Source organism: Homo sapiens, chromosome X (assembly GCF_000001405.40).
Source record: "Homo sapiens chromosome X, GRCh38.p14 Primary Assembly".
NCBI lineage: Eukaryota > Metazoa > Chordata > Mammalia > Primates > Hominidae > Homo > Homo sapiens.
Window position 1 is genome coordinate 54,021,605 of NC_000023.11, and position 12,100 is coordinate 54,033,704.

The 12,100-nt window shown below is 44.3% G+C and overlaps 1 protein-coding gene across 12 annotated transcripts in view; it reads right to left on the reverse strand.

Moving 5' to 3' along the window:
* PHF8 (PHD finger protein 8) overlaps positions 1 to 12,100 on the reverse strand; it is a 112,257-nt gene that overhangs the window by 84,925 nt on the left and 15,232 nt on the right. For all 12 annotated transcript variants that reach the window (XM_005261996.2, XM_011530778.2, XM_047441934.1 and 9 more), the window contains 2 exons: positions 1,154 to 1,239; positions 655 to 763 (listed from right to left, as the gene is read on the reverse strand). In XM_005261996.2, the coding sequence (XP_005262053.1) occupies positions 655 to 763; positions 1,154 to 1,239 (195 nt within the window). The remainder of the gene's footprint in view (positions 1 to 654; positions 764 to 1,153; positions 1,240 to 12,100) is intronic.

The following is a 12,100-nucleotide window of genomic DNA, read 5'->3' on the forward strand; positions in this document are numbered from 1 at the left end:
ACTACAGGCGCCCGCCACTACGCCCGGCCAATTTTTTGTATTTTTAGTAGAGACGGGGTTTCACCGTTTTAGCCGGGATGGTCTCAATCTCCTGACCTCGTGATCCGCCCGCCTCGGCCTCCCAAAGTGCTGGGATTACAGGCGTGAGCCACCGCGCCCGGCCAGTTGCAATTATTTTTAAAAAACCTGAACATGGTCTACTGAATTAAAAAACCAAGCAAAGGAGAATGCTTTGTTCCTTTTTTTAACTCATTATTTTTGCTTATTTCATGTAATTTACTTTTAACAAGGCCAGCTTAATTTTAAAAAGATAAAACCTCTTTTCGATCATAAAAGAGATATATGACCAATAATTTTTTTATATTAAAAGAGTTTCTTCTTCTCTATGAGAGAATTAAACTTTCTGATCCTAAGACTCCTTCTAGTCAGCATTCCTTGGATGAATGTAAGTATCTAACTTAGGTGAATACTGCCTCCCAACTACCAGAAGTTTTCCAGGAATTGACCAAACCAGAAGGAATTTGCAGAGCCCTGAAGATACTCACAAACTGGGGAAGCTCCTAATGGGACAGCCACTGGGAAAGCTGGGAAGAGGTGAGTTCCAGCTTCCCAGAGCCCTGGCATTCACCAGCCACTGGAGGCAGGGTTCCTCACCTGTCAAAAGTCCTACTCCGGAGCTCTCTGACGAACGTAGGGCTCCCGGTCTTCACTGGTTTCCCCTTGTGTGTATCATGCCCCTTTGAAGATCCACGGCGTTTTTTCACTAAGCCAGAAAAACATGAGAGATTGTGAGTCAGAACGGTCATGAGCTATGATACCAAGAACAAAGGCCTCAGCAGATCCTTCTCTTCCAATCTAACCACCCCTTGGAGCATCTGGAGTCAATGAGGCCCTCACAGATTCAGGAAAGTTCCTGGTGAAGATGGATGGGTACTTTCTCTAGATAAGCCTTAGGAAGGGAGGGAGGTGAAGTTATGAACTTCTGTCCTCTTAGTGAGATAGGTGCTGGCCTGTGGAGCCTGCATAGGCTTCTGCTATTTCCTGAGGAAGAAGAATCACAAGTGCTCAGGCAAAAGCAATCACTCCCCCAAATTTCCTTTCCTTTGTCTCTCCTCTGGATTGTCTTCTCTAGGAAACCCTAAGATCTACTTACTAATGGAGGGCCCATGCAAGACTTCACAGTTGGGGCAGTGGTAGAGGTCAATGTCAGCAGCCTTCTCCTCTTCAACACCAACACAACTGAAAAAGAGAAAAACAGCCAAGGTTTATGGAAATTTTATTTTTTATGAGGTCTAGAACAGTGCTGTCCAGTAGAACAGCTATTAAGTACATGTGGCTATTTATGTTTAAATCCATTAAAATTAAATAAAATTTAAAATTTCAAGCGCTCAGCAGCCACATGTGGTTAGGGGTTACTGTATTAGGCAGTGGTGTGATCATGGCTCACTGCAACCTCTGCCTCCTGGGTTCAAGTGATTCTCCTGCCTCAGCCTCCCAATTAGCTGGGATTATAGGCATGTGCCACCATGCCTGGCTAATTTTTTGTATTTTTAGTAGAGACGAGGTTTCACCACATTGGCCAGGCTGGTCTCAAACTCCTGAGTTCAAGTGATCCACCTGCCTCTGCCTCCCGAAGTGCTAGGATTATAGGTGTGAGCCACCACGCCCAGCCTTATAACCTAATTTTTAAACTTGAGATACTTTATTAAACGAAAAAGACTAAAAAAAAAAATTTATAGTCAACAGTAGTTCTAAATGAAAAATTACAGATAATCCTTTTTATCTTATCTGTGCTTCTAATTTCCTACAATAAACATCTGTTGCTTATTTCACATTTTAAAGACTTAAAAAGATTTACTTAATTTTGAAAATTTGACTTTGCATGTATATGAGGTGGTAATCTCACAAAATTCAACCTTCCCTTACTAGGGAAGGCACCAGCAGCCCTCCAAATAAATTCTTGCTAAAATTAAACACCTAGGCCAGTCACAGTGGCTCATACCTATAATCCCAGAACTTTGGGAGGCCGAGGCAGGAGGATCACTTGAGCCCAGGAGTTCAAGACCAGCCTGGGCAACAAATTGAGACCCCCATCTCTACCAAAACAAACAAAAAAATTTAGCTGAGCATGGAGGCTGAGCTGGGAGGATCCCTTGAACCCAGGAGATTGAGGCTACAGTGGGCCATGATTGTGCTACCGCACTCCAGCCTGGGTGACAGAACAAGACCCTGTCTCCAAAAAAAAAAAAAAAAAAAAAAAGAAGACCCAAGTCTTAAAATGTTTGGTTTACCACACACAGCAGAGAACATTAAGGCAGAGCTCAAGTTGTTTCAGCCAAGATCATGCTCATAAATGGACTTCCTGGGATTAGGACTTCCCAACTAATAATCTTCCCAATATCCCAACTAAATATATTCCCAACTAATAATCTCATGCCTATAAACCAGCAGCTTATCAATAAACTAGGGATATCACCATCAACTTTGTAGGGTTTTTAAGGATTCAATAAGATAATGTATATAAAGTGCACAGCATGGCCAGTCGCGGTAGCTCACACCTGTAATCCCAGTACTTTGGGCGGCCAAAGTGGGAGGATCGCTTGAGGCCGGGAGTTCAAGACCAGCCTGGGCAACATAGGGTAACCCCATCTCTACAAAAATAATACTAATGTGTGTAGCACAGTGAGCATAAAGTCTGATACACAGTAAGTATCCGGTTTCACAGTAAGTGCTAGAAGTCCAGTCCGGACCTCACCTTTCACCTGCCTAAAACTTCTTCAAAGATATTCCCCAGACCTTGTAGCATTAACTCAGTTCCCTGGACTGCATGCTTTCTATCTCATACCCCTGTTCCCTCTGGACACCTCTCTCTCCCCTAAACTTTCACCCTATGTGGCTATGTGCTTTCTCTACTCTAAACACCCGCTGCTCATCCCCTTTCCCAACTTGGTAAACAAACTGCTCAACATTGGCACTCTCTTCAACAAACACTCCTTCACCTTCCAGGCTTAACTGAATGCAGCTTCTCCTACGGGAAAATCATTTTCTCTACACCGGTGCCACTCAAAGTGTGGTCCACAGACTAATGCCGGTCTGTGAACTATTTACTACAGGTCTGTGGTAAGTACAGAAAGTAAGAGTAAGCATCACTATTATGCAGAAGTTTTTACAGCAATTTAACAGAATAATTTTATATCCGTTCAATCTAAGAATAAAATTTTGGGCTTGTCTTTTATATGTCTTTTGGTTCATACCATTTTTTTAAATTTTTATTTATTTATTTATTTTTTGAGACAGAGTCTCGCTCTGTCACCCAGGCTGGAGTGCAGTGGCACGATCTTGGCTCACTGCAAGCTCTGCCTCCTGGGTTCACGCCATTCTCCTGCCTCAGCCTCCCGAGTAGCTGGGACTACAGGCGCCCACCACCACGCCCAGCTAATTTTTTGTATTTTTAGTAGAGATGGAGTTTCACCATGTTAGCCAGGATGGTCTCGATCTCCTGACCTCGTGATCCGCCCGCCTCGGCCTCCCAAAGTGCTGGGATTACAGGCATGAGCCACTGCGCCCGGCCGGTTCATACCATTTTTTTCTAGTAATTCTTTTTTTATATCATAAAAGGATCGGCCCATTATAGATTGGAAATTTTAAAAGTGCCTTGGTTCTTTGCCACAGAAAATCTAAGCAGCATTGTGCTAGAGCCCTTATAGCTGCACATTCTCCCATACCCTCATAACTCAGGACTGGGTTGTGGGTAGCCATCCCTCTCACTCTCTGGTGAGACTTCCAGATCATCTCTCCTCTACCCTTGTGTAAGAGCTCCCACTCCTCTGAGTTCCACACCATCCAGCCATACCACTTCCTACTCCTCTTCATCACTGCCACATACCCATCTCCCCAACACACCCCTTCACTCGCTGAAGAACCTGCTCAGATCTTCCCCATCCCGAGTCCTGACAACATCCTACATGAAATCAGTATCCATCTGGAGACACAACATTCCAGGCACTTAGTTCTTTGATCTTCTCATCTTCAGAGACTGTTACCTCTACTCCCATTTCAGCTACCAACTCTCATGACCATCCCCCAGACCCTGTCAACACCAGCAACTGCTGTACCTCTGGAATATGAAACTCATACATCGCCCTCTCTGACCACAAGTCTATCTATCCAGCTCTCATTCACTACAACCTGTTCTTTGCCCTCAAAACTCTTTATCCTCATACTTTTCACCTATTCACACATTCTTGACTTTACCCTCCTTCCCTATCTAGTTGAGATTCCAGCATTCCTCACTTCAATCATTCTCTTACAGATACCCTCACTTGCCCCACTGCCTTTCATCCCCATATGCAAACCCTAACCCTGGCTCAGTACAACTACCTAACTCTAGACCACTAGATGTGGCTAGAGAAAAATAACCCATTGGATTGGTGCCATCATAAATTCACTGTCCAAAATATTTGGATTGGCCAGGCACGGTGGCTCACGCCTGTAATCCCAGCATTTTGGGAGGCTGAGGCGGGTGGATCACCTGAAGTTAGGAGTTCAAGACCAGCCTGGTCAACATGGTGAAACCCCATCTCTACTTAAAATACAAAAATTAGCTGGGAATGGTGGTGGGCGCCTATAATTCCAGCTAATCAGGAGGCTGAGGCAGGAGAACAGCTTGAACCCAGGAGGCAGAGGTTGCAGTGAGCCGAGATCATGCCACTGCACTCTAGCCTGGGCGACAAAGCAAGATTCCATCTCAAAAAAAAAAAAAAAAAAAAATCTGGATCATGCTGCCTGACAATCCTTCTGAAATTCCCCACTCAACTCTCTCTCATTATCTACTGTGGCTGTGTCAAATCTCTCACCCCACTACCTGCCTCTTCTCTCTCAAAAATTACCTTGCTTCCTACTACTTCTGGTTTTTGGTTTTGGCTTTTGTTGTTGTTGTTGTTGTTGTTGTTAAGCACTCTTTGCTTTCATTCTTTGAGTTCCTTAATGTTTTTGTTTTGTTTTGTTTAGAGTCAGGGTCTCACTGGGTTGCACAGGCTGGAGAGCAGTGGTGCCAATCATAGTTCACTGCAGCCTTTAACTCCTAGGCTCAAGTGATCCTCCTGCCCCAGCCTCCCAAGTAGCTAGGACTACAAGCACACACCACCACGCCCACCTAATTTGTGTCTGTACGTGTGTTTTATAGAGAGGGGGTCTTGCTTTGTTGCCCAGAATGGTCTCAAACTTCTGGCCTCAAGTGATCCTCCTACCTCAGCCTCCCAAAGTGTTGGGATTACAGGTGTGAGCCATCATGCCAGCCACTTCCTACTTCTACACTTGATCTTAGCCAAAAGACCAAGAAGCGATGCACTTCCTACTTCTTAGAGAAAATTAAGTAATCAGAGGTGAACTACCTTAACTTCTCATCACCAATCTACCTCCTTCTACACCCATCCTTTTTTTCCTATCACAACAAAAGTACTATCTTTCCTTCCTTCTAAAGCCAAGTTTTCCACCTGGGTCACATGTTTTCTTACCTTCTCAATCAATTATTCCTTCTTTCTGCAGTATCTTCAATCTCTCTCTTTCTCTTCACAATAGCATTTAAACAAGTCTATTGATGTTTACAAATTAAAAAACCAAGACCTACCCGCCCTCCCATCCTCCCTCCCTTCTGTCCGCCCCTTCACAGCCAAACACATTCTTTCTTTAAACCTATGCAGCTTAAAAATGAAGTAAATAAACCTACGAAGCTTGATAATGACTCCTCTTTTGAATAAGTAACAGCTGTACATGGTGCAAAACTCAGAGTACAGAAGTATATACAGTAAAAAGTCTCCCTCCCACCCTTAGCTGCCTAGTAGTATCCAGAGGTGTTCTATCAGAGCCAAATCGATACTTTTTTAGGGTTGCTATATGCACTTTGTGATTCATCTCCTGCTAGTCTGATCTTAGTCCCCACCTTCTTTAAAATAGATCTCACTGGTTTCCTGACCTCCTTGTTGATATATGCAATAAGTACTTCTCTGCTTTATCTCCCTTAACCTCTTAGCACCATTTTCGCCCTGCCAACCCTGTACACTCTCCACCTGACAAGCTCTCTATCCTTGACTTCTATAACGTCCCATCTGGCTGGTGCCCATTCCTTCAGCTGACATTTAATGAGCATCCGCCAGGCTCTGGTCTAGGTGCTGGTGAGACGAAGACAAAAAACAAAGCATACAAAAATCCCTGCCCTCATAGAGCTGATGTTCTAGTGGGGAGGCAGACAAGAAACAAGATAAATCAATGCAATTGGTGAAACACATTGTATGCTGGATAGTGAGAAGACCTAGGTAGAAAAAAAAACAGGAAGGGGGATATAGAGGAATATGTATGTGTGAATATATAACTATACACACCACACACACACACACACACACACACACACACACACAATGGGGGGGCCAGGAAGAATGGTAGTGAGGGTGAAATATTAGATAGGGAAGACAGGGAAAGACTGACAAAATGGCTTTTGAATAAAGACCCAAAGGGAGTAAGGGAGCAAGCCCCTCATGTGGCTATGAAGGAAGAGCATCCCAATAAGAACAGCAAGTACAAAAGCCCTGTGGTGGGAGCATCCCTAGACTCCGAAGGTAGCAGAGAGGAGGAGAGTGTTCTAGAGTAGAGAGGTAGGAGGACAGTAATAAGTCAGAAAGGCAATAGACTCATGTAGTAGGGTGTTGTAGGCCACTGTAAAGCACTCTGGCTTTTCCTGGGTAGCCACAAGAACTGGGGAGTAACAGCCACTATGAGTAGGGATGTGATGTGATTTTAATCATGTCTTTGGCTGTTCCTTTTTCCCGATGAACTCTTTTTCTCCTGCCCAGTCCTTAAATGTTGAAGTTTCTTAGGTCCTCTTACCTGGGCACTCTTTTCTCCTCACTTTTCCTCACTGTTCTCACTCCCAGGGCTCCATGTGCCCTCTATGCACTCATAACTCCAAGCCAGATTAGACCCTTCCCTCCAAATGTCTCCTGGGTGAGACATTTCTACTGGATAGCCACTTACGTACTTCAAATTCAACATGTCCAAACTCAGTTTCTCCTTCTGTCTGTCACCTAAACATGCTCCCTTCTCTTAGGTTTCCCACTTCTGCAAATGGCTCCATAACCTCACCAGGCATTCAAGCCAGAAACCTGGCAGCCATCACTGATTCACCTCTAGCCCTCTCCCTCCACTATACCCTGAAGTAGACGTTCTAGCATCAAGTTAAGAACACTGACTTTAGGTCCAGATTCTCTGGGTTTGCATCCTGGCTGTGCCACTTACTAGCTGTGGGATCTTGGACAAGTTACTTAACCTCTCTGTGCCTCAGTTTCCTCATTGTAAGATGGGGATAAAAACTGTACCTACTTCACAAGGTTGTTATCAAAAGCAAATGAACTAAATATATAGAAAGTGTTTAGAACAGTGTCTGGCCCATAGTAAGTGCTGTGTATGTTTGTTGTTATTATCCAAGTTATCAGCATGTCCTATCAACTCTCTTTATTAGCTATCAATTGTGTTAATTTGTCATCCTTACTGCCCCTGCGCTAGTTCAGGCCACTATTATCTCTAACTCAGTTATTGTCCTGCCCTCCTAACTGGACTCCTGGCCCCTATTCTGTCCCTACCCAATCGGCCCTCCACACTACAGCCAAAGTGATCATTTAAAAACACAAATTTGATCCTATCAACCCATGCTTAAAATGCCTCACAGGGTCCCTATTTTTCCTAAGGTAAAGTATAAACTTACCATGGCCCAAAAGGCCTTGCCTCTCTGGCTGAGCTCACGTCTTTCCCCTCACACACAGCGTATGCTGGGGGAGACATTCCTACTGCATAGCCCACTTACAATCTGTGGGGCCTAATGGAAATGAAAAGTGGGAGCTCCCTGTTCAAAAAATAGAAAAGCTTTTTCCTTTCTTCCATGGTCTCTCTCTCAACTTACCATGCAGTTTTAATATGCTATTTACTGTCACGCTCCCTTGGGTATAGGGATAACTCAAGGGGCGAGTGCAGGCCCACACAAGTACCCTGGGGCCCTGCCCGGTGACTTAGTACACAGGGTACATGAACCCAACCGACTCTGTCCACACCTGCACCTGGGCCCAGTGCCCCAGGCAGCTAGCCAAGAACCTGTTCGGGGAGGTAGAATGGCAGCAGGAGGTAGAACCACATATGAGCCAAGACTCTTAAATCCCCAGCGCACACTCCATTGTTCCATCACATACCAATCACAAAATCAAAGGCAAAATTATTAAGAATTTCAAGACAACCACCACAGAACATTAAACCTCAGGCATGGGGCACCATGTGACTATAACGATTGCACACCCATGAAGCCAGCTCTGCTCTAAAAAGCCAGCGGACTCTCGGTGCCATACTCTGTCTAGCTCTAGCCTCTGGGTTTCATCACAGGTATCTCCTTCTACCTGGAACATTCCTGCTCTTCCTTTTCCCTGCTGCTGTGGCACCCCCACAACACTATCCCTATTTCAGCCTTCACCACGAGGCCTTGGAATTGCTCACTTACCTGCTGTCTGTCCCCACTACATTTGCCAGATAGTGTATCTTATTTACCAAAAGTCCTCACCTTTCCCATCTCTCAGTCTTGCCTTACTTATTATTCAACAAACATCAACGTGCTAGACAACTCCTCATATCAGGGAGGCAGACAAATGAAAAATCGGGCTTCTGGCTGCACTGTCTCGATAGTTACCACCTGGGACCAAGGGTGGTAAATGCTGATTTGCTCTGAGTAGCTTCCTTAGTCAAGAGGATAATTATTATAGCACCAGGTCTTGTGATTAAGATGAGTTATCCCCATGGTATACTGCAAAGCCAAGCACACGGTAAGCAGTATTTGTTAAGTAAATGAGTGCATAAATTCAACAAATATTGATTGAGCAGACACTGCCCTCATGGACTGGACATTTTAGAGCGGGAGACAGAGAGGCAGTGTCAAAACAGTTTCGTAAGTGCTATAAAGTCAGTAAAGCAAGGTAACAGGATAGTGAGTGAATGAATTTGAAGTTAGCATAAAAGGCACTGAGAAAAAAACTGAGCTATGAACTTCACATATTATCACATTTAATCTCCACAACAAATCAGGGCCTTCCGTACAACATTCACAGACATTAAACACAGAAGCAGAGGTTTAAAGTACAGGCTTAGGAGCCAAACTGCCTGGGTTTGAATCTCACCTCTGCCACTCACTAGCTATGTGAACTTAAGCAATTTATACTTCACCTTTCTGCATCTCAGTTTCTGCATCTGTGAAATGGAAGTACTAATAGTACCCACTTCACAGGGTGGTTAAGAGGATTAAATGAGCTAAAATAGTTAAGTACTTAAAGTTCCTGGCACATGTTAAGTATTAGCTATCATCATCATCATCGTTAATATTATCCTAATCTAACAGATGAGAAATCTGGGTCTGAGTGGTTAAGTAAATTGTTGGCAATTACAAAACTACTAAGTAGCAGAGCAGGATACAAATTCAGGACTTTGTGACTCTACTATATCACTACAATATGTAACCAGGATATAATGTGGGGTGATTAATACAGTCAAGTGTTATGAGCACTCCAAAATGGACACTCAACTCTTCCAGGGATGTGGAACTGAGTGGGAGCTGAGACTTGGAGATGCCTGAGAGATGATGATTTTGCTCAAGATCCTGTCTGGCTTCTTATCTCCTCAACCTCTGCCTTCTGAGGGTACCCAAGGATCCAGGTCCAGACAGAGCACCATCTATAAAACCAGAAGCTGAAGCATCCACCATTCCCACCGCCCCACCCCTCCAACTCCAGGCACACAGGACTTAAAGGAATGCAAAGGACACAGCAAGTTCCAGCGTACCTAGGAAGTGTCTCCTTTATGAGTTTGTCATATAACAGGTTTCACTGAATTCTGGATGCACCAACGGAATAACTTCATATGCACTGACATGCACACAGACAGACTGTTCTATCTCCAAAAAAAAAAAAAACCCAAACAAAAAACCCTTTTGTGATCCCCTCAGTCTCTGCCCCATTACTCTAGTCCCCTTTACACCAAATTCTTCAAAATTGAGTCATTCTTGAGTTCCTTCTTCCACAACCCCAATCCAATCTATTAACAAATCCTGTATCAATATATATTCAAAATCCAACCACTTCTCATCATCACTGACTCTGCTTTAAGCCACCACTGCCTAACTAGACCAAAGTTTCTCAGATTTTAGGGAATATTAGAAACACCTGGTAAGCTTGTTAAAATACAGATTCCTAGGCCCCATCCCCAGACATCTTGATTCAGTAGGACTGGGTTGGGCCTATAAACGTGCATTTCTAATGACCTCTCAGGTGATGCTGATGCTGCTGGTCCAGGGACCACACTTTAAGGAATAATGATCTACAGTAGCCCCGAAATTCTCCCTGCTTCTACCTTGCTCCTCACCTTTAGTCTATCCTCACAAGAGCCAAAACCTAAATCAGATCACAACTCTCACTTGCTCAAAAAGCTTCTGTGGCTCCCATCCAGAGTAAAAACCAAGTCCTTACACCCTATACCCATGGTTTTTAAACTTTAGCGTGCATCTGAAAGGCTGTTAAACCACAGATTCTAGGGCTCCATCTCCAGAGTTTCTGATTCAGTCAGTCTGGGGTGGGATCCAAGAATTGGCCTAATCAGTTCCTAGATAATGCTGATCCTGCTGGTCTGGGAACCATACTTGGAAAATCACTGCTGTATATGATCTGCACACCCCTGACCCTTAACCTCAGCTTCTATTACTCTCCCCTCACTCACTCTGTTCCAATAGCATTGGACTGGACTGGTAGCATGCCAGGTCTGCTCCCCACTTGGGTCCTTTATGTCCTCTACTTGAAACACTCTTCCCCTACTTACCAGCATGGTTCCCTTCCTCGCTTTCCTTCAGGCTCATAGGTAACCCATCTGTAATCATCCTGTATAAAGTAACCACTACTTCAACCCTGGGGTGGTACTCCTTCTCCTGCTCACCCTACTTTACTTTTCTCTAGACCATGTATTATCACTTGACACACTATATATTAAGCTGTTAGTTTACTGTCTCATGTTCACTGCCGTATCCCCCCTCCCCCACCCCGGTGTCCAGAACAATGCCTGGCACATAGCACATATCTGATTTTCCCTATCTTCCATAACTTCTAACAACTTAAACAGTGCTTATATTGTCTATAATACTGTATTCTACAGTGAAAGTAGAGGAGACCCAGGTTTGATCTGTGGTCCAGCTGTCTGTGTAGCTTTGGGCACATTATTTAACCTATCACTGCTGGTTCTGGAACAATATGAAGTAGATGCACTCCTCCCTATCCCTCCAAGTACAGCTAAAAACCCTGGACAATATATACAAAACAAACATAAAACTCTGAAAGGTGAAGGGAAGAAAGCAGACCGACTAGAGACAGCAGGATCCACCCACCTAGCAGGTGGTGGATAGCACCAAAGACCAAGTGGGGAACCTGTACTTCCACCCCCACCTGGCAGTCATGAAGTGGTACCCCCTTTCTGCCACCGGAGCGCAGTGTCTGAGAAGGCCTGCAAAAACAGAAGTCTTAAATAAGATCCAGGATCTCGTGACATAATGCCCCAAATGTCCAGAATATAATTAAAATAATTATTTGTCATACCAAGAACAAGGAAAATCACAACTCGAATAAGAAAAGAAAATCAACAGATGTTAAGACTGAGATGACACAGATGTTGGAATTATTTAAGAATTTTAAAGGCGCCATCATAAAAATGTTTCAATGAGCAATTAAGAACATGCCTGAAACAAATGAATAAATTGAAAGTGTCGCCGGGCACAGTGGCTCATGCCTGTAATCCCAGCACTTTGGGAGGCTGAGGTGGGCAGATCACGAGGTCAGGAGTTCGAGACCAGCCTGGCCAACACGGTGAAACCCCATTTCTACTAAAAATACAAAAGATAGCTGGGCGTGGTGGCATGTGCCTGTAATCCCAGCTACTCGGGAGGCTGAGGCAGGAGAATCACTTGAACCCAGGGAGGCAGAGGTTGCAGTGAGCCGAGATCGCACCATTGCACTCCAGCCTGGGCAACAGAGTGAAA